Here is a 23,440-nt window from a genome sequence, read left to right as displayed (position 1 = left end):
TGGAGAGAGGCCATCAACAATTGGTGAATCCCAGGTGACTGACCTGCTCCACTTAGTCACTCAGCACAAAGGGTCTGCTCCGTGAGCAACTTAGCAAGCAAAGTGAATTCATTCCATCAAACATTCATTCATTCTGCATTGATTAATGCCTGGGATGTACTAGGCCAGCACTGTGTTGGGCACTGGAGGGAAAGGGGCTGGGGGCCTTAAGATAAATTGGACAAAGTCTCTGCTCTCAAGGAGCTCAGCATCTAGCAGGGAAGATAGACACAGCAGGAATCACAGCTCAGGGGGACGAGTGCTGTGGTGAGAGTTATGAATGTGAGCGCAGAAGCCCAGAGTGGAGGACACTCCTTCCCCCTGGAGGAAATGGGGATAATTCACGAATGAGGTGATGTTTGAGTTGGGTCTTAAGGGATGCACAAGAGTTCATCAGCAAAAGAATGAGGGAAGTGCATTTCAAAGGTTACTTGGTTGATGGGCAGTAGGTCTGGGGTTGTACTTGAGTCCTGGTTATGCGCTGGACACTGCATGATGCTATCTCTAGACTCCCATGCCATTAGTCCCTAAAATTACAAGCTTAACTTTATTTATTTATTTATTTATTTATTTATTTAATTTATTTATTTTAGAGATAGGGTCTCACTCTGTCGTCCAGGCTGGTCTTGAACTCCTGGGCCTCAAGCAATCCTCCCACCTTACTTGGCCTCCCTGAATGCTGGGATTATAGGAGTGAGCCACTGCACCTGGCTACAACCTTAATTTTTTTTTTTTTTTGAGACAAGAGTTTCACTCCGTCATTCAGGCTGGAGTGCAGTGGCGCAATCTTGTCTCACTACAATCTCTGCTTCCCAGGTTTAAGCGATTCTCATGCCACAGCCTCCCCAGTAGTTGGGATTACAGGCGTGTGCCACCACGCCCAACTAATTTTTGTATTTTTCATAGAGACGGAGTTTCATCATGTTGGCCAGGCCGGTCTCAAACTCCTGAGCTCAAGTGATCCACCTGCCTTGGCCTCCCAAAGTGCTGGGATTACCGGCGTGAGCCACTATGCTCAGCCTACTATCTTAATTTTTAAAAGTAAAGTATGAAGCATCTCATTTGGAGTTAGATAGTCCTGTTCGAATTCTATTATTTTATTATTAGCAGCATGACTTTGGGCCTGGCAGAGAGGAGATGTGCAGTAATCATTAAGTTTTCCTCTCCCTTCCCTAATCCTGATTGGCTTTAAGCTTAGCTAGCCGATTTCCTGAGCCAACCAGAAACACTGGGCACCTTCAGGTCCGCTAGTAGGCCATACCTGGAGCAGTAGGCAGAGCCCTGGAGTTCACAGTGTGTGTTGGAGGGGTGGGTACCATTGGTACCCAGCTGCTTCACAAATCCTCAGACCCCACCCCACCCCACGTTAGCCTAGGAGAACAGTGCACAATGGGGCGGGGTGTACCACCTTCCATGAGGCATCTGGAAATAGTGGGAGGGGGAGTTTTGGATTATCACAATGATATGGGGGGCACAACTGGCATCTGGTGAAGAATTGTCCTTTGTCCTGTCCACTTTTCAAATGTTCCCTGGACTATAGGTGGGTGGGAAACTCTTTTTATAATTATCTGAGACCAGAGTTCGTCATTCTATTTACCTGTAAATGCAAAAACTCATTACACAGTTTTAATCTACTCTGAATTTCTCTCTTTTTTTTTTTTTTGAGACAGGTTCTCACTCTGTTATCCAGGCTGGAGTGCAGTGGTGTGATCTCACTGCAGTCTCAACCTCCCGGGGCCCAAGTGATCCTTCTACTTCAGCCTCCCGAGTAGCTGGGACTACAGGTGTGTACCACCATGCCTGGCTAATTTTGTATTTATTTATTTATTTTTTTTTGGAGAGACAGGGTTTTGCCATGTTGCCCAGGCTAGTCTAGAACTCCTGGGCTCAGACAATCTGCCCGCCTTGGCCTCCCAAAGTGCTAGGATTACAGGCGTGAGCCCATGTGCCCCGCCTATTCTGAATTTTCTAAGATTGCTCTGATCATGTAACTTGAAGGAATATGATACATGGTTTTGTTCAGGGCCTCACCATGGGTTGAGTCCCTTGTTGGTGTTTGAATTGTCAATTCGACATATGTGTGTATCCATCTGTATTTTTGTTAACCTGATTCTAGATGTGGTTACAGGCATCTGACTGCTTCAGAAAATCTTCCAGTGTAGGCAGCCCAAATACTTACGTAGTGAAATATGTATTATTATTTTATTTTATTACAAATGGTTTTCCTTTTATTTCTCCTTTACTGTGTGGTTACTATATTAGTATTATTACTACTGCTTTTGGTATTTGTAGGTGGATTATATAATCTATTAACTGCATTTCAGGGTGCTGAAGAGGGCTTTGCAAACTATTTGTTATAAAAGGGACACTGGGTTTGAAGGATTCAGACCCACTAGCATAATCTATACAACTGGGAACCCATCCCATTTCCCCTGGGATATAGGCAGGATGGCCTAATGGTCAGGAGATGGAGTTTGGGAGTCAGAAAGACCTAAATTTGAAACCCAGCTCTATTGCTTACCAGCTAAATGACCTGGGGGTGTCTGAATAATCTTGCTGATCCTTAACTTCCTCATCTGCAAAATGGGGATAAATACCTACTTCAAAGGTTTAATGGCACAAGTTAAGTGCTCAATAGCAGAAGCTGCTATTATCATGATTATTTTTGTTGTTATTTCTCTGAGGAATCCTCCCCAGCTGGGACCCTGAGACCTGACCAAGCCTTAGTATCCCAACTCCAGCCTTGCCCTCCCACTTCCTGTCTACTGTATCCTAGCTCAGCATCCTGTATCACCAAACACTGATGGGGAGAGGGGTCCTAGTCCACATGAACCATGAAACCAAGCCACACCAAGTGGGACCCTGTTGGATCCAGGCCTGAATCCGGGACCCATTCTTTCTTTACTGAATGTTGCCCGGGGCAGGAGTGGTGGAGGGGCAGTCTATTGCCCAACAGCTACCCAGACCCCACAATGGCTTCCAGCTTCTTCTCACCAGCACTGCTGGGGCCCTGGCATGCCTGGAGCTGAATCCCGAGGCTGTGGGGGCCAGCTGGGAGCAGCCTCCCAGGTTCCAGCCCCTGTACACGAGGGGCACCCCCAGCCTTCAAAGCACTGGAGACAATTATCTTCCTCCAAGATTAAACATCCATGGACCTAACTCTAAACACGCCACCAGTTTTACTGTCACTGGCATATGAACTTTGGAGTGGAGATTGGGAATTTGTTTTTTTCTAATCATCATTCCTTTGCGGTTCTCTCTGCCTTTTCACCACAGAAGCTGTGTTTTTCTCTTCTCTAAACAAGTCCATGTCAAAAGAAGTCCCAATAGGCATCATCTCCTGCCCCCTGGGTCCCTGCATTCAGAGACCCCAGAAAGACTTTGAGCCACGCCTTTGGCCATCAGAGGGAATCAGTTCTGATTCTTCCCTCAAGGCTCTGGGAGTCAGCGCTGAGATGGCCTCTCCCACCTTCAGAAGACCCAGGGCTATCTCCTCATACCTCCTGCCCCAGCTGAGTTATTAGAAATCCCTAGAAGGTGAGCCATGGAATCTGGTCTTGATCAAGTGCTAGCAGGTATTACTGAGATGACACACACGATGCTTCCCTAAAGAACTTCACAGTCTAGCTGGGGAGACAGTCACTAACAGACAACTACAGTTCAATGTGGTACATATTGATTGTGAGGTTTCTACTGGAGATTTTGGGCCTTGGAGGTTGTAGGAATGGCCCACTAATTTTGCCTGGGCAAGATGTGAAGGCTTCTGAGAAGTTAAAATTGGAATGTGGTATTGAAGGATGAGTAGGAGTTTTCCCAGGGCTGAGCTAGATCTTCAAGCCCTACTCCTCACCCCTAGCCCTACAATTCTGGCATGGTTATCCCATGTCTGAGTGGCAGTCTTGCGGGAAGAGGAAATAAAGAAAGAACTGAGGCTGAAACACAACTCTTTACACCTGGCAGAGTCTGTCTTTGGACTGAATCCTGGCTCAGACACACTGGCCTCCCCAAACTGTTTCCAAAACACAAAATCAGTATTTCTGTAAGTGAGTCCCACAGAAGATGAATTCCTCAGGAAATTCCTCTATGTTATATGAAAAAAGAGACTCCAAGATCAAATAAATTCACAAACATTGAGTTAAGTCAAGCAGATTTTACTGCAGGACTTCTCAGAGCCTTTAAGAGTAAAACAAAAACTAATTTATATATATTTAAAATATATTTTTATAAAGGATAATCTAATAATAAATATCAAAAATATAATTATTAGCTGGGTGTGGTGGCGGGTGCCTGTAGTCCCAGCTACTCGGAGGCTGAGGCAAGAGAATGGCATGAACCCGGGAGGAGGAACTTGCAGTGAGCCGAGATCATGCCACTGCACTCCAGCCTGGGCGACAGAGCGAGACTCCATCTCAAAAAACAAAACAAAGCAAAACAAAAAAACCCCATATATATATATAATTATTATTTGACAGCTACCCTTTCTTGACTATTTCCTAATGTGCCAGACCTGTGCTATGTATTATGTCAGTAATCATAATAACTTTATTTCATCAGCATGATCATTATTTCCATTTTACAGACAAGAAAAATGAATCAACCCAAGAAAAAGTCACTTTCCAAGATCATAAAGTAAATGGTGCAGCTGAGATTCAAAGCCAGGTAGTCTCTGACCCAAAGTCCCCACCCTTTACTAAGTATGGCAAGCCCCTAAGAAGGGCATATGATACTCAGCATTTCCAAGCTTATTCAGCCAGGGAACCTCTTCATCCAGGGCCCCACAGAGGGACTTTGGGAAACACTGCTCTAGTTTGCTCCTAGAAGGTTCGCCAAAAGCTGGCCGGGCGCGGTGGCTCACGCCTGTAATCCCAGCACTTTGGGAGGCCGAGACGGGTGGATCACAAGATCAGGAAGACCATCCTGGCTAACATGGTGAAACCCCGTCTCTACTAAAAATACAAAAAAATTAGCTGGGCGTGGAGGCGGGCACCTGTAGTCCCAGCTACTCAGGAGGCTGAGGCAGGAGAATGGCGTGAACCTGGGAGGCGGAGCTTGCAGTGAGCCGAGATCGCCTACTGCACTTCAGCCTGGGGGACAGAGCGAGACTCCATCTCAAAAAAAAAAAAAAAAGATTCGCCAAAAGCCACAAAAGTATTTTCAAGGCTTTGCTTCTCTTTCTTTCCCTTCTCAGCTGGGTCTGGGGGTCCTGAGTCCCTTAGCAGGTCCCAGGGGCTGGTGTAAGCATGAGGAGGGGTTCCCAGGAGAGGTCGAGATTCTAGCAAGCAGCTCCTAAATTGTTCAGATCTAAATAGATGACTTCATCGGTCATATATGACCCATAGAGGGTTCCAATTTCTATTCTCAGTTCTAAATTGTTGCTTTAAGCTTATCTGCTGTTTGAGTGTTCAGCAGACAAAATAGAAAATGAATTCAGAATTCCTGCAGCCACTGCCTGCTTAGTAGGAGAAAGCAGGGGCCCTCTGAGGGCTGGGGCAGTGTGACCCAACAGGGCTACTGCCCGGACCCAGGCCTCATCTTTCCCACTTGGGCCCCTGCACCTCCACCCTGAGATCTCCAGACTTTCATTGCCACTCCCTCACCGCTGGCAGAGTGGTGTCTCAATAAACAACATTGAACCTGACACTCCCTTCCTCAGAATTCTTCAATGGCTCTGTAGTGCCCCAGCAAAAAATCCAAAACACTTGGCCTGGTTTTCAAGGTCTTTGGAGATTGGGGAGACTGTGTCATCATTTTCCCTTTCTCAAGAGAACACAAATGAACAAACATAGGCTGTGATACAAGTGATACAACACAAGGTCTAGGTGCCCTGTCCTTGAAGATAAATCAGCTCATGGAAGAAACCAAGTAGCACCTACAAAATCTCCTGCACAAATATATTTTCTCTGGAGACCATAACACAGAACACAGAAAGAAGTTTTCCCCTTACTGAGTAAGCAAGCAAGTTGAGTTTAGATATCCTACTTCATCCTGCTTCAGATGAGACAACAGAGGTAGGAACACATGTCACCAAGGAACACAGGGAAGTAATAAAAGGGGTTCAGACATCTTTTGAGAGCGGTCCCAGAGTTGGGGGAGTCCCCTTCTAGTCCTCTAAGACCAATGACACATGGTTATTCAGGGGTCCTGGACTGTTTGAAGAGTGAGAAGTTCATCTTTGCCAGGATGCCAGAGGCAGATGTCTGAATGCTTCTTGGCACTGCATGGGCTAGCCCAGTGCATTTCAATCTGTAATGCGGGGAGCTTGTTAAAATGCAGATTCTGATTCTGCAGGTCTGGGGTGGAGCCTGGGACTCTGCATTTCTTAAAAAAAGCTCCTGAGTCACATTGGTGCAGCAGCGGCCACTGCATGATGAGCAAGATCCCAGAGAATGAATGGGCAGTCAAAACCCTGCAACCCTGGCCAGGCACAGTAGCTTACGCCTGTAATCCCAGCACTTTGGGAGGCCAAGGTAGGTGGATCACTTGAGGTCAGGAGTTTGAGACCAGCCTGGCCAATGCGGTGAAACCTTGTCTCTACTAAAAATACAACATTAGCCGGGTGTGGTGGTGCATGCCTGTAATCCCAGCTACTTGGGAGGCTGAGACATGAGAATTGCTCGAACCCAGGTATAGAAGGTTACACTGAGCTGAGATTGTGCCACTGCACTGCAGCCTGGGCAACAGAGTGAGACTGTCTCAAAAAAAAAAAAAGAAAAGAAAAAAAACCCCAAAACCCTGCAACTGCAACTCCTCTTGGTCTCCTGGTGTCCCTTAAACAGACACATTTTGATGAAGAGATTCTAGGTTAGAAAAAGACAGGGAGGGAGGCGATCCCTAATTATGAAAGGTCTCCCAACAATATGACACTGCTTATCTCTCTAGTTTGTTCGTCTCCCACAACCCTGCCCTTAACCTTGACTTCATGCTTGACTTTAACCTATCTCCTCACAGCCTCCTGCACACACCATGCTATTTCAGACCACTGTACTCGTCTCAGCTATACCTCCTGCCTGAAAGCCCTTCTCACCTTACTTAGCTGAATTAAATCCTATTCCTCTTTGAAATTTTCCTGGCATACCTCATCCTCCAGGGGGCTTTCCCAGGGTCTTCAGGCTGAGATAAGTGCTCCCTGCCGACTTCTGTGTGCTCGTAACCCTTGTGTTCATCTGACTATGATACCGATCTTGAATCCTGGCTCTGCCACTGACCGGCTGTGTGACTCCGAGCATGTCCCTTCCCCTCTCCGTGCCTCGGTCTCCTTATCTGTGGAATAGGATCATAGTGGGCTCCTCGCCCATGGGATACTGCCCGTTCCGGGTCTGCCTTCCCCACCAGGCCGCCGGTTCAAAATCATGGAGCATGCCTCGTCCCCATTTATCTTCCCACTGCCCAGTGTGGGGTGTGGCACACAGTAGGTGCACAAATAAACATGTGGCGAGCTTATCCAAAGCTGGCGACATCTCCTCCAAGGGAAGAGTTCAGCAGCTTCTTTCCATCTCTAAGAGAAACGACTTAATTTTATAAACAAAGCATGTTTGTGGTTTGCTTTTCTGCTTCCTTCTTTGTTCCTGAGTTTTAAAAAGGCATGAAATGACAATCATGATAATGCAGTTTGCAGGAGCTTGGCCTGGGCTAACTCATGGAAAGCAGCTCCAGCTTTCAAACCCTTGAACGGATCATAACACTGAGACTCAGAGGGGTCGTTCACCTGTCACACAGCTCGTTCGTGGTGGCAGAGCAGGGATTCCAACTCAGCTCTGGGTGGCTCCAAGGCACCGTCTGTTGAGTTCTGGGGACTGCAAAGCTGGAATCTGCATTCCTAGCGAGGGAGGTGGGCCTAACAAGGGTCGCACACTGTGGGGAGGAGGAGACAGTGAGAGTTGCGGGACAGTGTCCCAGAGGGCTGGGGCATGGAGAAGGGGCATGGGACCCTTTTCTAAGGATGAGGTGTCAAAAAGGGATCTAGTTATTGAAGGACACCTGGATGAGGGAGACTGGGTCCAAACCCCAAACAGAGCAGTTCTTGTCTGCAAGACAGTTAGCAACTCACGTGGATATTGAATCACAAAAGTAGCCAGAAGGCTCATCAGCTTCGTCTTGATGGAGATGGGATGGGGAGCTTTATCAAAGGGAAATAGGATGTATTGCCTCTTGAAGAGTGCAGAGAGAAGGGTCAACGGACGAGGATTTCTAGAATGAGTCACATCCGGGCCCCAGCCTGCCCAAACCTCATAGGGGGTGCTCCCTACCCCACACTCCCTGTAGGAACAAAGGCCCCAGCCAGCCTTTGTCCCCTCCATTACTTTGTCTTCCAGCCCCCACTCTGTGCTCTGAGCCCTCCCTGTTATAGTGAGCTGGATAAGGTGGGCTGGGGTGTGAGCAATGGAATGATGGTCCTTCCTCACTCCTCCAGACCTCTCCTACTTCCCCCATCTCTTCGTTTCCATGACAGCAGCTGGCAATGAGGCGTCTACTTCAAACTGCTGGCAGGGATGCCATGCAGGAGCCCGAGACACAGGCCTGGGGGTGAGGGAAGGGAGCTCCTATCTGTTAAACACCCACATATGGGTTCTGTCTGACGCTACATCCGTCACCTCCCTTACTCCTCACCCCCACCAGGCAAGGAGCCCAGTATGGTCCTATTCCACAGAGGAGGAGACTGAGGCACAGAGAGAAGGGACATGCTCCGAGTCACATAGCCAGTCAGTGGCAGAGCCGTGATTCAAACTCAGATTCCTGCAGACCTCAAGCCCAGGCCTTTAATCACTATACCACCCTGCCCTGTGGCTAGGGGTCAGCTGTTCAGGCGAGAGCTCAGCTCCTTGCTGCAGGCCTGTGTGTGAATCCCTTCATTCCCCCAGGCTCTGCAAAGGAACTGGAAGTCCCACTGCTCTGTGGGGCTATGGGGATTTAAATAAGTTGGAGAAAACCCCAGGCTCCTGGTTGGAGCTCAGCAAAGGGGTCTTTCCCTTCATCTCCAACCAGAGAGACATCACTCCCGGGTTCCTGGATGGGGCATTGCTAGGCGGTGCCCCAAATCCATGGGGTAAACCCCATATTAGAGGAGTTCTTTACATACAGCCCGCACCCCCAGCCCTGGGGTTCCTCACAGCAGGAGTACCTCTCATCATTGTGTGTCTGCTTTGTGCCAGGAGTCCTGCTAGGGCCCTGCATGCTCGCTGTTGCCCCAGGACGCAGGCACAACGATTACGCTCATGTTATAGATGAGGCAACCAACTGTGGCATTGTGCGGCGGCAGTGCCTGAGTCCACCGGGGTGACTGGGGCGAGCGCATCAGAGAGATGTCCCTTATGCTCAGTCCTGCCTTCGAAACAGACCTGGAAGCTGTTCGCTTCTCACTGCCTCCACATTGTACCCTGGCCTAGGCCCCTGCCACCCTGGCTTGGACAGCACTGGCCTCCGGTGGGGTCCCCCGCTTCCTCTGTGCGTCATCCACACATCCCATTGTATCCTTGCAGGCTGAGAACCCTGCAGGCTCTCAGTGTCTTCTGAACAAGAGCCGAGTCCTCCTAGTGGCCGGCAGTGCCCTCCATGTCTGGCCCTGTGACCTCTGACTCCATCTCCTACACTCACCCTCACTCACTGTGCCCTGCCACTCTAGCCTCCTCACTCTTTCTGGAACATTCCAAACCCCTTCTAGCCAGGCCTTGCTGTCCCCTTTGCCCAGAATGCTTTCCACTGAGATACGGGCATGCATGCTTCAATCCTCTCTTGACTCGAACATTGCCCATCCCACCCTACGTAGAAGAACCCCTTCCATTCTTCCACATGCTCTTCACTCATCTTCACCACTGCATTTCACCTTACACCTTGGTTCCTCTCCTGCATGTCCCTCTGCTGGAATGGAAGCCCTAGGAAGGCAGGTTCTCCCGCCTTGTTCATCCTTGTATCTCAGCACCCAGAACAATCCCTGACACCTATTGGGCAGAGAAAATATTAACTGTTGAAAAATATTTGTCAAGTGAATGGGCAAGGCCTGGCAGGCCCCAAGCCTCCCTCTCAGGAGAGCTGAGCACGTGATGTCATGACTACCCATGAGCACTTGCCCAAACACAATCATTCACAGGCTATTTACAGGGCAGCCTACAGCAACATTTCCAGCCAAGTGGATACCTGCTGACTGAACTAAACAAATTTCCTCTTAGGAGGCTGAATGTGAAACATACAGGGAGGTACCAATTGATTGCGCTCAGGGGCAGAAATCAAAAACCATGAGGCTGCACAAACCATGAACTACAGATATCACAGGCCTGGAGAAGCCAGGGGACAGCAGATGTCACGGGCCTGGAGAATGCAGGGGACAGCAGATGTCACGGGCCTGGAGAGGCCAGGGGACAGCAGATGTCACGGGCCTGGAGAGGCCAGGGGACAGCAGATGTCACGGGCCTGGAGAGGCCAGGGGACAGCAGATGTCACGGGCCTGGAGAGGCCAGGGGACAGCAGATGTCACGGGCCTGGAGAGGCCAGGGGACAGCAGATGTCACGGGCCTGGAGAGGCCAGGGGACAGCAGATGTCACGGGCCTGGAGAATGCAGGGGACAGCAGATGTCACGGGCCTGGAGAATGCAGGGGACAGCAGATGTCACGGGCCTGGAGAAGCCAGGGGACAGCAGATGTCACGGGCCTGGAGAGGCCAGGGGACAGCAGATGTCACGGGCCTGGAGAATACAGGGGACAGCAGATGTCACGGGCCTGGGGAATCCAGGGAACAGCAGATGTCACAGGCCTGGAGAATGCAGGGGACCAGCAGATGTCACTGGTCTGGAGAATGCAGGGGTCAGCAGATGTCATGGGCCTGGAGAAGCCAAGGGACAGTAGATGTCATGCGCCTGGAGAAGCCAGGGGGCAGCAGATGTCACTAGCCTGGAGAAGCCAGGGGAAGGAGATGTTGCGGGCCTGGAGAAGCCAGGGGACAGCAGATGTCACAGCCTGGAGAATCCAGGGGACAGCAAATGTCGTGGGTCTGGAGGAGCCAGGGGACAGCAGATGTCATGGGCCTGGAGAAGCCAGGGGACAGGAGATGTCATGGGCCTGGAGAAGCCAGGGGACAGCAGATGTCATGGGCCTGGAGAAGCCAGGGGACAGCAGATGTCACGGGCCTGGAGAATCTAGGGGACAGCAGATGTCACGGGCCTGGAGAAGCCAGGGGACAGGAGATGTCACAGCCTGGAGAAGCCAGGGGACAGCAGATGTCATGGGCCTGGAGAAGCCAGGGGACAGCAGATGTCATGGGCCTGGAGAATCTAGGGGACAGCAGATGTCAGGGCCTGGAGAATGCAGGAGACAGCAGATGTCACGGGCCTGGAGAAGCCGGAAAGTACAATGTAGGCCTCACCAGGGCAGGAATGCTTGTCTGCTCTGTTCTGCAGGAATCCCGTGTGCCTAGAGGAGCACCTCATACACCGGAAGTGCTCAATAGATGTTGTTGAATGAATGGTGGAGTGGAGAATAGAGGAGAGTTATTTGGTATGTGCATGGACCGGGGAACTTGGGAAGAGCGTTTCTCCCCTTCTTGTCTTTCTTTTTCAACGCTTCATGGGGTAATAATTCACATATTTTAGCACTCACTCATGTTGTTATGTATATTTTATCACAATTAAAAAATACCCCAAAATTCACTTGTTTTAAGTCTACAACTCAATGGGGCCATGGGGTTTGTGTGGGCTGAGAAGGTGGGAGCATATGTGGGCAGTGATGAGGATACACAAGATGTGTCTGGGGAAGGGCTGGTTGCCCACTGTGGAGGGGCCAGGATGCAGAGAGCCTATGGGTCCTGCTTAGGGCCAAGATGCAGATCACCATAGTCCTGACCTCACAAGGTTGTTTAGGGGAGCAAACGAAACGACAAATATAAAGTTCTCAGCACAAAGCCCCATACACAGGAGACGCTCAGTACACACCATTATTCCCTTACTCCGTGTTAGGTGATGCCAAGAAAACTCGGGAGGGCAATATTACAAACTAATAAGCACAGAAGCTGAGATCAGCTCCAAATTGCAGTGTTTTCAAAGTAACATTTAGTGCACAGATAGACACACAGCTCTGTGTCTGGGATGAAAGGAAGTAAAATGCATTCATCAGAAAAATGCTTGATTCCGGAGAGACGTTTCTCCTAGTGACCAATGCAGAGAAAGCCCTCTGTATTCAGAACTGGCACAGTGAGATCACCGTAACGATTCTTGGCACTGATGGAGCAACCCGGCCCAATGTCAGTTCCAAACCTTGAATGTTCAAATCCCTGAAACTTCCTCAAAGTTTGTGCTTCGATCTACAGAGCTAATTGCTCATTTGCTTTTTCTTCTCTTCTTGCGTGTGTGTGTGTTTTCCCTGTAACAGAGGAAAAAAACCCCCTAAATCTCTGGGTATTGGGGAGCACTTAATATCAGAAACTCAAGGATTAGTTTTGGGACTTATTCCTGTTATCCAGCCTGGAACTCAGGAAAAAGGATATATGCCCAGTACCTAGAAATAGGCACTTTTGATATTTATAGGTGGAGGGAATTAACGGATGATTGCAATGTGAGATACCAAGCGGAGAATGAGAAGGATTACAAAGTGCTGGGCTATTGCCCCAAATGTTTCAGGCAGCAAGCATCATACCTTGAGGGGCTTTGCAGCACAGTGAAGGAGTCAAGGATCTCCATTTCAACCTTGTTACTTATGAGCTGTGTGAGCTTATGCGAGTCACTTAGCCTCTCTGAGACTGTCTTAGCACTGTGCTTTCTCGTATGAGAATGTCACATTCTGCTTTGTTGTTACTGGCCTAGCAGCTGTCTTCTTTACTCTGTCACCTGTAAGGGCAGCAGCCGTGTCTGTCCCAGCATCCCCACTGTACAGCAGGCACATGATCACCATGAACAGACTCCAACTCCTGTTTTACCTTCCTGCACCTTGCTGCTGGGACTCTTCCCTGTTGGGTGTGGCAAGCAGTTCAAGTTCATTCAGTTCAGCACCAAGAAATTCAGCGAGAACTTTTTCTTTGGCGGGTCACTGCTCAAAATTCCTGCGTCTGCATCTGACCGAGGAGTGAACTGCACTGCTGTTTCTGTTTCCAGCTTGATTCAAGGACTCAATAAAGGAAGCAGGGTTGACAGAATGGGTTCCATTGAATTGGAGAAGCTATAAATTTTCTATTCCCACAAGAACTGGAGTAACTTCTATTAATATCCAGTTATCAGAATGCACAACACCATCTACATCTGTAGCCCTACGTGGCAGAGAAAAAGTAAGCATGGAGGAGGAAATATCTTTGTGTGCAAGATTTTTAGAAAAACAAAACAAAACAAAACAAAACAAAACACCATCAATTTCCATCTCTCAAGGAGTTTCCAGGCTGGCGGTAGAAACAGGTAAACCAGGTATTTATTTTACATCCTGATGAGTGCACAGTGTCATGGAAGCATCTAAACCAGCCTGGGGGATAAGGATTTAAATGAAAGAAGCAACACTGTCCCTCAATCCCTCCCTTCGTTCTTCACGCCCACCCCATCACATCTCCTTTCCCTTCTTTACACAGAACACTCCTTTGGCCCCTACCCACCTTGAGCATCTTAATTACTTCCTGTTAACCTCCCTGTCGCTCTCTAAGGCATGGCCAGCCCAGGCCGTGTGCTCTTTCTGGAGCATCCCTTTCTACCTCTATGCCTTGGCTCAGGCCATCCCCTATACCTGGCTGTTCTCCCTCCATGTCTTTACCCATTGATCCCTTATGTTTCAAAGTCCTGCTCACTCATTCATTCATTCATTCATTCATTCAACAAGTATCTCCAGAGAGTGCACTATGTTCCTTGCACGTCGATGGGTACCAGGGATATGGAGGGAAATCAGTTACAGCCTATGTCCTCAAGCTGCTCACAGCCATGGGGGGACCGATGGTGACAATAAGGACATGTATGGAAGATGTGAGTCTGGGGGTGTTGTAAGGCCAGAGAAGGATCCTAATCCAGCCTTAGGGGTGGGGGGTATTCAGGGAAGACTTCCTGGAAGAGAATACCTCTGAGTCCTGAAGAATGAGGTGAAAAGAGAGAGAGAGGTGTATATAAATACATGAGAACACATATAATCTTAGGCATCGATGTGACCTATGATTATATGTGTTCACATGTACTTATATGCTAATGTAATAACTAGTGTTTATTGGATGCTACTAGGAGCAGCACTGGACTAGCACATTTGACATATTAGCCTTATAGGGGTGAGGCCTCACAACCTTATAGGGGAGAGGACTATTATCATTCCCATTTCACAGATGAGGAAGCTGAGGCACAGAGAAATTCAGAACTTGCTCCTGGTCATACAGTGACTAAGTGGTAGAGCTCGGGTTCAAACTCATTGCAGCCTCCAAGCCCATGTTTTGACCACTGTTCCCTGCCTTCTGAGGCTGGCCAGGTCATTCTGCCACTTGCTCTTGTCCAATGCATTTATCAGGGACATCTTTCCAGATGGTAAAATTCAGGTTTCCTTCTATTTAATGGCTGCAGAGGATGTCACTGGATTTTAAGCAGGAAAGTGAAATGGTCAGATATGTCCCTCGGAAAGGGACCTCTGGGGATAGAAGGGGGCTGCCTGGAGGTAGAGAAGCCTGTGTTGGGTGTGCAGAAGGAGGAGGAGGCCTACGTTGAGGCTGGGATGGGGTGATGCACAGTGGGGAGGAGCTCGGGAAACACGCGGTGCAGCAGGATGCAGCAGTGACCACCTCTAAGGTGATCAGAAGGGCAAGAAGGCAGTGGGGGAGGCTGTCTCAGGATCTCCTTCCCAACTAGACCTCTTCCAGGTCTGCACATTTTAATTCCCCCTAAGCATGCTCCAGCTAGCACTTCCAATTCAGAGCAAGTGAGCAGCAGCTTCAGCTCCACTAAGATGTGCAGATGTGGTGGTGCCTGTGGAATTCTTAATTCTTTGAATAATCTTTGCCTAGGAGGGTCATGTCTATTTTACAAAAAACAAAACAAAACAAAACAAAACCCAAGAATAACCACAAATTACCCAAGACACTGCTTTAACCCTGCCTCCTAGTAACAGCTCATTCAGCCTCACCACACATAGCCACCTGTCCAGTCCTAAGCATGGACTCCACACCAGTCTCAATCTGTCTGTTTCTCTCCTTGGCCACTGCCAGTCCAAGGGGCTGTCCTCTCCCATCTGGATGACAGCAATAGCCTTGTTACTGGTCTCCCCAGTTACACTCTAGCATAAGTTACTCCATGTCTCTAGCCTCAGTTGTCTCATCTATAAAATGGGCACATGAATATGCATCTCGTAGAGCTGTTGAGGACTGGGTGACATCACAAATGGAAAGCCCTGGAGTGCTTTCTCAACAGACAGTACTTCTTTTCATCAGTCATCAGGACAGGAGGGTCAGAAAGGTCAGGGGCTATTTCTCCCATACCCTGCTGGTCCAGATAATAGCAGGTGCTAGGGACCTCTGGATCGCCCCAACCCCCTTGCCCGCACTCCCCCACCAAGGAGAGGAAAATGCTTCTTGCCCATTCATCATATATCCTGCCACTCGATGGGAGCATCATCACCTTATAACCCAGGGCTCTCCCCAGCTCCTCAATGGCTCCTCCCCTGGTTCCTTGCATGGTGACTGTATCTATGAGTGAATCTGAGAGATGAAATAGGTAAGTAAGTATAACTCAGTCCCTTCTTTTGGGAGCCAGCGTGCCTGCAGGGAGCATGCGTCCTTTCCACTCTCTCCCAGGAAGGACAGGGAGGGGCCACCTCCTGCAGAGCCCAGCACTGCCTGTACCTGAGTGGGCAACTCAGCCCATCCTGGCCTTCAGCATTTGCGAGCCCACACGCTCCACTGTCACTCTGATTAGTAATAACCATGACATTTTGTTCTCCAGCTGCCTTGTCTTGCCTTTTGTCTTCATTCTCGATTGGTACAGAGCTCAGGCTGGGCAGAGGAGTGCTATTTATCGGCCCTTCCCACCGCCCCCTACAGGAGAGACCAGTGGGAGAAAACTCCATCTTGAGTTCCTGGCTTGTTAATGGAGGTTTTCAAGGCTTGGTGAAACCCGCTGCTGTGAGAATCAATCAATAAACAACTGAAAAATATTTATTGAGCTCCTGATACAACAGGGAAAATAACTTATCCTTGCCCAGTGTTTCTTACCACTTTCAAGATGCCTGGAAAGCCGTTCCATTCAAAGGTTTGTGAGCACCATGAAGTGCCAGGCGCTCTGTTATGAATGCAGACCCTACCAGAGGCCCATGTTAGGCTCATCAGGGTGGCCCCGCCACTCAAGTAGTCAGACACCAAGGACAGAGGAAAGAAAACCAGGCTTCCCATATGAGCCTGGGATCAACAATCACGTCCACAGACTCTCCAGACCACAGGTGTGGGCTGGTGGTGGAATTGTGCCTCACCTGGGCCGAGGGCAAGGGGCAGCAGGATGTACTTATTTAATGATGATTAGTGATTCTCTCCAGGAACAAAGAAAAGCTAGCAAGTAAATAAAAGGAACACTCTTGAAAGAGCAAACCAAGTGAAAATTGCCTGGAAAAGTTTGAAAGAAATGAAAAAAGAAGAGAAAGCAGATGCCTCTGTTAGCTATTAAAATACAACCTATACAAACAATCATCAAACCAGCATGGCACAGATCTCCGGTCCTCCTCCTGTGCTCTGTGCCCCTGAACCACATCAAAGGCTCTCTTGCTGTCCACCCACTTCTGATTGGGTTTGGCCACAGGCAGGGCAGGAGGAGAATGACATTTAGTGTTTATTCCCTTCTCTTGGGTTTGGCCACAGGCAGGGCAGGAGGAGAATGACATTGAGTGTTTATTCCCTTCTCTTGCTCCTCCAAACTTGGAGGCAGAAACAACTCTCCTCTTCCCATTGATACTCTAGGGTACTGCACTATCCCATGTTAGCTCACCAGACCAAAAGGTCTATACAAGGTAACAGGCTCTTTATCAAAACCTTTCTCAATCACCCAGTTGGGATGTGCCCTCTGTTTTTTGCCATGGCCCTGTCTGATAGTCAGTTATTAGAATTGGCAGATGGTTCAACAGATCAGAACAGACAGTTCAGAAAGAGATCTACTGTCAATGACTGGGTTTCCAGGTTACGTGCCCTGAGGCCCAAGATACAGAACTGTGCAAATGGTGTTCCCTGGAGTTGAGTGTGATTTGGTGGCTCTGCCTCCAAAGATATATTGTAATTTAGTGCTGCTGCAGGTGACGTAGGAAAGAAAGGTGGGGAAGAAAGGAAGAAAGATTTAATAAACAGGAAGGGGAACAGGATGAGGACCTTGGTTAAGTATGTGAGAAGGAAAATTAATTTAGACTTTTATCTTTCTTCAAAACCCAAATAGGTTAGAGAGCGATAATTTAGTCTAAAATATGAAACCATTAAACTAACGACAGTGAGAAACCTTGTTTTCCTATCTGAATAATTGGAATAACAGTAACTACCTCATAGCATTGTTAAGGGAGTTAAGAGAGATAATTCAAGTTAGGACAGTGCCTGGCACTTTATTAAAAAGAGGACTGAGGCAAGATTCCAGCCGAGAAAATTGCTCAAACCTAGTTATCCTGGGGGTAGGGAAAAGGTGAATTGGCAGAAAGGGGCATGGCCCTTAGGTCATAATATGGAGATTCCACAAAAACTGATAACATGACAGAGAAGGAGAGCCTGGCCTAAAAACTGGCACAGGAATGGTCAATGGAATCTGACTGTCCCTCAATCTGTGGCCACCAGGAAGTAACAATATACAGGTATACTGTCTGAAGCAGCTGCAATTGTAGAAGCAGATGGAGACTTCAGCAGATATTAAGGTTTCACCCTAGGCTGAGTCCCCTTCATCTGGATGTCTGGTTAGAAGAACTCTCATCCAGAGTCCAAGGCTGGGCTCTCCCCATGGTACTCAGGACAGACAGGTTCGCAGTCTCTGTTTACTTCCACCAGAGGCAGGCTGAGCCTCTGATTGGTAGCAAGTTCCTCCTTCAAAACTGGCTTTCCTCCCTACCCTCCACGTTAGCATCCATCCACTGGGGGCCTCACTGGTGAGTTGCATTGAACACTCAAGGAAGAACAACGCCCATCTTGTGCAATCTCTTCCAGAGAACAGAAAAGTGGGACTCTTGCCCACATCATTTTGTGAGGCCAGCATAACCTTGATACCAAAGCCTGAAAAGTAAGCATGAGAAACGAAATCACTGGTGAACAGCACTCATGAACTCATGATTTTAAAATCCTAAACAAAAGGGTTTGTAAATATAAGCTGGAAATAAAGATGCTACAGGATGACTCAAATTGGGTTTATTCCAGAAATGCAGAAGTCGATGTCATGCATCATGTTAACGGGTTGAAAAAGAAAAATCATGTGACCATCTGGGCAGATGCAGAACAAGCATCTGTTAAAACTCTATTTCCATTTATAACTAAAAAGAAAAGAAACACTCAGCAAACTGGGAATAGAAAGGAACTTCTTTAATCTGATAGAGAGTATCTACCAAAAACCTAGAGTAAACATGATACCTCATTATCAAATGTGGACAGCTCTTCCATAAGAGCTGTAAAAGGCAAGATGTCCACTGTCTTTTTGTTTTGTTTTTTTGAGACAGAGTCTCACTCTGTCACCCAGGCTGGAGTGCAGTGGTGCAATCTCAGCTCACTGCAACCTCTGCCTCCCAGGTTCAAGCAATTCTCCTGCCTCATTCCCCCAAGTAGCTGGGACTACAGGCATGCACCACCATGCCTGGCTAATTTTTGTAGTTTTAGTGGAGATGAGGTTTTGCCATGTTGGCCAGGCTGGTCTCAAACTCCCGACCTCAGGTGATCCACCCACCTCGGCCTCCCAAAGTGCTGGGATTACAGGTGTGAGTCACTGTGCCCGGCCATTCTTCAATTCATTATTGTACTAAGGTCTTAGAAGGGTAGTAAGGCAAGAATAAAAAGGAAAGAATACAAGGATTAGAGAGGAAGAAACAAAACTGTTATTTGTACCTCTTACAATTGTATATGGTGTTTTCAAAAGAATCTACAAATACATTTTTTTGAATTAGTAAGAGAGTTTAACAAGATTTCTGGATACAAAATCAATATGCAAAAGCCAAGCATATTTCTCCAACAAGTAACCAACAGAACATGAATTTTTCTATCAAAAATGTATAATAGCATACAAATTATCAAATAATAGAAATATATATAACAAAAGATATAAAAAACACAAAATGAACATTAGGAAGCCATGTCACGAGATATTAAAGATGTTAAAAATATCCTAAATAAGTAGAGAGATACCATGTTCATGGAAGACTAAATACTACACCTTCCACTCTCTAGAAGGCAATGGAAAGCTCAGTGTAACAGCTGCTATTTAGAAATCAGAGCAACCTGGATTTATATTCCAATTTCTGCTGCTTCTAAACTCTGTAACTTATTTCACCAACCCCTCTGAACCTGTTTCTTCTCTTATAAAACATGGATAATAATTTCTGCCTACTTGTTAGAAGTCAATGGATAAGAAAGCACTTTGCAGAGTGCTGTATAAATACAGGAGATTCTTACAACTAGTATTTTTGTCCCTTGTTGGTCCAAGGGTGGGAGAAAAGTTAAATGTCCCAGACTAAGCCAACTTGCTTGCTTATGCCCATCTATTTATCATCAAGGGCATTGCTGAATGTTTATTCTGTTCATAACATTTCTTCATTCAGACCTCACAGCAACCTGTAAGGTGGGTGCTATATTAGCCTCATTTTACAGATAAGAAAGCTGAGGCCCAATTAAGCAATTTGTCATTCACATATTCATCCATTCCGTAGACATTCATGAATACCTTCTACGTGCTAGGAGCTGTGAATGTCCTGGTGAATAAAACAAATGTGCTGCCTGCTCTATTAGAGCTGATATTATGGTTGGAAAGACAGCCAGAAATCACACCTCAACAAATACACTGGCAGAACTAAGATTCAAACTCATGTCTGTTGGACATTGGAGTCTGTGCTTTTAAGTACTCCCTGGGGGCAGCTTCCTCAACCTCTTCTGCTCATTCCTCTGTTGGGATGTGATAGTTTCTAACATGCATTCTGCTGGCAACAACAAGTTTCAATGGCCCTTGCCATCCAAGCTGTTGCACAAATTGAGAGCTGTCAGCTTCGATCCTGGCCCATGTGATCCCCCTGCATTATCACTGGAGAATTACAGCAGTGAGGACGAATGCATAAAAGAGGCAAGGCATCCTGGCCCCCCCTCCGACAGCATCAGCAGCATTGCTCCCGAAGAGTATGCGTCTTAGTCCTCTACAACCATTAATGGCAGAAGTGAGTCACTTATAAATGAGATATGGGAGCTTTATTATAATTACATCCCGAGATTCAGAAATGCTCAGCGTCACTGTGAAAGGGAGGGCAGCAGGTGACTGGGGCTTGAATGATCCTCTGCCAGGTACATCTTTCAGATAAAACATCTTGGATCAGGAGCAATTATAGCTAATTCCCGGCCTGAATGCTAATGAGAATTACTTACAATTGTATGTAATTCTTTGCAATTTATACCATCTGCTTTTTTCCTTCTTTTCTCCACATTTCCATCCTGACATTCATCCTGAGAAACAGATACTGGCAAATCGAACGAATGGCCATTTTGCAGATAAGGAAGCCGATGCCCAGGGTCTCTCGGTTCTAAGGGCAAGAGCTGGGGTTCCAACCCTAAGCTTTCTGTCCCTCTAGAAAACAGCTGATTGAAAACTGTCCCAAATCCATGCTCGTCAGAACAAAGCCAGAGCACAAAGTTCAAGCTGCACTGCGTAGCAGCAATATCATCCACACTAGTGACACTCGTTGCAATGGCCAGCGTTTGCTGAGTGTCTAGCAGAGTATCAGAAGTTTATACAGGTCCACACTGAGACTTCAAGTCTCAGACTATTTAAAGCTTGAGACTGCAGTAAGACTTTGGGGCACACATTACATCTAACCAGACCTACTCTCACTTTACAGATGAGAAAACAAGAAGCCTGCAGAGGCTGGGCAATTTGCAGGTGGCAGAGAAAGGATACAGAGCTGGGATTGTTTGGCCTTAATAGCAACAACAACAATGGACTCTTAACACTTTTAGCTATTACATGGCACCACTGAAGTGCTTTATGCACATGAACACACCTAATTCTCTTACCAACGCAGTGAAGAAGGTGTCAGGAATACCCCCATTCTAAAAATGGGGAAACCAAGGAACGGAGACGTGTAGCAACTTGACCAAGGCCACAAAACTCATAAGCAACAGTGCTGAGATGTGAACCCCAACAGGTGAGCTCCAGAATCCCACACTTTTGATGTCTTTGCTATGTGTTTTCTCTGCTAAGGAAAAGCCAGGCACTCCTTCATTGTGAAGAGGAAAGTGCCAACACAGAATTCTGAGAGAGTCGAAGAGGAGGAGGCTCATGTATAAGTCCCTCCTCCCTTGGACACTCAGCTGAGGGTCAGGAAGGACCACTCCCAGCCCAGCATTGGCCAAACCACTCTGGGGTGCAGGGTCTCTTGGCAGGCTGCTCCGGCCTCCACCCAGCCCTGAAATCATGGACAGGCAGCACCTGTCCATCTCCTGCCTCCACGGGATTCTCTGTCACATTTGAAAATGAAAACAATGCCAGGCATCCCCTGCCCTTCTCCGTAGATTCTCCCCACACCAGGAGAAATGCCTGAATCACACTCGAGGATTTACATGGGGTTGTCCAGGATTCCTGTGAGCAGTGGACCTGCTGCCTGGCTTTCCTCTATTCATCCTTTGCTGCTGCCAGACACAAGCAAAGAAGGAGCTAAGGTCCCATCTGCCACCTCAGTTTCATTCATAATCTAGAGGGAGTCAGGCAACATGGGTGTTCAAACCCCAATTCTGTCATGGACCAGCTGGGCAATCTCAAGCAAATTACTTAACCTCTCTGAGCCTCAGTAGACTATCTGTTCAATAATAGTACTTACCTTCCAAGAATGCTGTGATGGGATAATGCATAATGATGCTCTCATGTGTACACCCTCCCTCTCTCCCAGTCTCTGCTGGTTTCTGGCTGCCTCCAAGACTCTTCCTATAAGACCCTCAATTCCCCTCTCCTTCATGCTCCAGGGACACACTCCGTCTGTGCTCCTGTCACAGGTTTCTGGCCCCGCAATCATGAAATGAGTTATTCAGGCACCTTCCAGCCTGAAAACCTTGTTCACCAGGACTCCCAGCCTGCCTCGTCTTGTCTGCTCCAGGCTGAGGCGGGAGCCCTCTGCCGGAGGACAGCCACTCTGCCTGGAACATCTCTGCACTATCAGCTGCCAGGCAAGCGGACACCTCAGAGGGATCAGGGAATCAGGAGGGAAGAGGTGGGATCTTCATGGAGGACTGGGGGCTGGGGGTGGGGTAACAGAGCAGGAGACGTGACTTCCTTGAGGAGCTGCTGTACTCCAGCTCCTGCTCCTGGCTTCCTGGGCTCCTTCGAGAAAAACTGAGAGCAACTTCTAGAATCTGATCTCTGAAAGAGCAGCCCCGATGCTTTTCTGTCACCAGAATCCACTCCCTGGCCATAATATCCACTCATTTTCCCAAAGCATCCTCCTCTCTCGGTACAACGAGGAGGAGGTGATCCGCCTCTTGCTCCACACCCCCAGCTGCAGCCGAACTGCAGGGGAAGGGCGGGTGGTGGTCCGGACAGTTCCCACCCCCGACTCCAGGTGACGCTGAGCCTGGGGCTTACCTCAGTGTATTCAAGTGATTTGGATCAGGATGACTCCGAGCAAAACCCTGACTCTCTCCCCTTAACCAGCTGATGCTCCTGGGCACAACTTCCCTCCCCGAGCCTCAGTTTCCTCCTCTGTAAAATGAGTATAACAATATTGCAACAGATAATGGATGCCCAAAGCCTGGCACAGTGAACGCACTCAACCAATGGGCTGGCACTACGGTTAGCAGCGAACTCAGACCCTGGGGAGGCTCAAAGAAAACGAGGCTCCCCCTCTGCTCGCCCGAGCTCAAAGACGGACGCTCAGGGCGCGCACCCTGCCCAAGCCCGGGGAAGCTAAAGGTGTCTGCGCGTCGAGTGCTGAGGCCACAGTGTGGAGAGGGGAGCGGTGCCACCGAGCGAGCCGCCCTCCGCCACCCTCCCCAGGCCACCCGCGTCGCGAGGGTACCCAAGCGCGCTCTTCTCAAGCGGGCGGCTCCGGGGTTCCCGGCCGCCCTGCCGGGATGCCCGGAACCCAGCCTGGCCAGCGCGCAGCCTCGCCCAGCCGCGGCGGCCCCGCTCCCGCCCAAGCCCGCGCCCCGCTGCGACTCACCGGCGCCGGCTCCGGGGAAAGTTTGGTGGCGCGTTGGCCGCGGCGGCCAGGCTGCTGGGTGTCGCGGGGGCGGCGGCGGGGGCGCCGGGGAGCTCTCGGGGAGCGGGGCGCCGGAGGAGGAGCC

General features: G+C 48.5%; 1 protein-coding gene and 1 long non-coding RNA gene across 3 annotated transcripts in view, besides 2 other annotated features; both read right to left on the bottom strand.

Moving 5' to 3' along the window:
• Window positions 1-23,440, bottom strand: part of HRH1 (histamine receptor H1) — a 126,320-nt gene that overhangs the window by 85,687 nt on the left and 17,193 nt on the right. The window contains exon 1 of one of the 2 annotated variants that reach the window (NM_001098212.2): window positions 23,317-23,378. The exons of the other annotated variant lie outside the window; for it this stretch is intronic. The gene's annotated coding sequence lies outside the window, so the exon portion shown is untranslated. Of the gene's footprint in view, window positions 1-23,316; window positions 23,379-23,440 lie in introns of those variants that run through there. 2 annotated transcript variants of the gene reach the window in all.
• Window positions 10,110-10,610: an enhancer, noted in NCBI's record as "H3K4me1 hESC enhancer chr3:11208947-11209447 (GRCh37/hg19 assembly coordinates)". NCBI's record gives its function as "activates a minimal SCP1, AML or CMV promoter by ChIP-STARR-seq in naive H9 embryonic stem cells {active_cell/tissue: H9 hESC(naive)}" and the evidence as "EXISTENCE:reporter gene assay evidence [ECO:0000049][PMID:30033119]".
• Window positions 10,611-11,111: an enhancer, noted in NCBI's record as "H3K4me1 hESC enhancer chr3:11208446-11208946 (GRCh37/hg19 assembly coordinates)". NCBI's record gives its function as "activates a minimal SCP1, AML or CMV promoter by ChIP-STARR-seq in naive and primed H9 embryonic stem cells {active_cell/tissue: H9 hESC(naive and primed)}" and the evidence as "EXISTENCE:reporter gene assay evidence [ECO:0000049][PMID:30033119]".
• Window positions 16,103-23,125, bottom strand: LOC124909345 (uncharacterized). Its single transcript, XR_007095817.1, has 2 exons — window positions 22,740-23,125; window positions 16,103-18,933 (listed from the first exon to the last, which is right to left on the bottom strand). It is a non-coding gene; the product is annotated as an uncharacterized LOC124909345 (long non-coding RNA).

The sequence above is a fragment of the Homo sapiens genome, chromosome 3, assembly GCF_000001405.40.
Source record: "Homo sapiens chromosome 3, GRCh38.p14 Primary Assembly".
Taxonomy (NCBI): Eukaryota; Metazoa; Chordata; class Mammalia; order Primates; family Hominidae; genus Homo; species Homo sapiens.
Note: the sequence above shows the minus strand (reverse complement) of the source record. Positions and strands in the feature narration are given on the sequence as shown.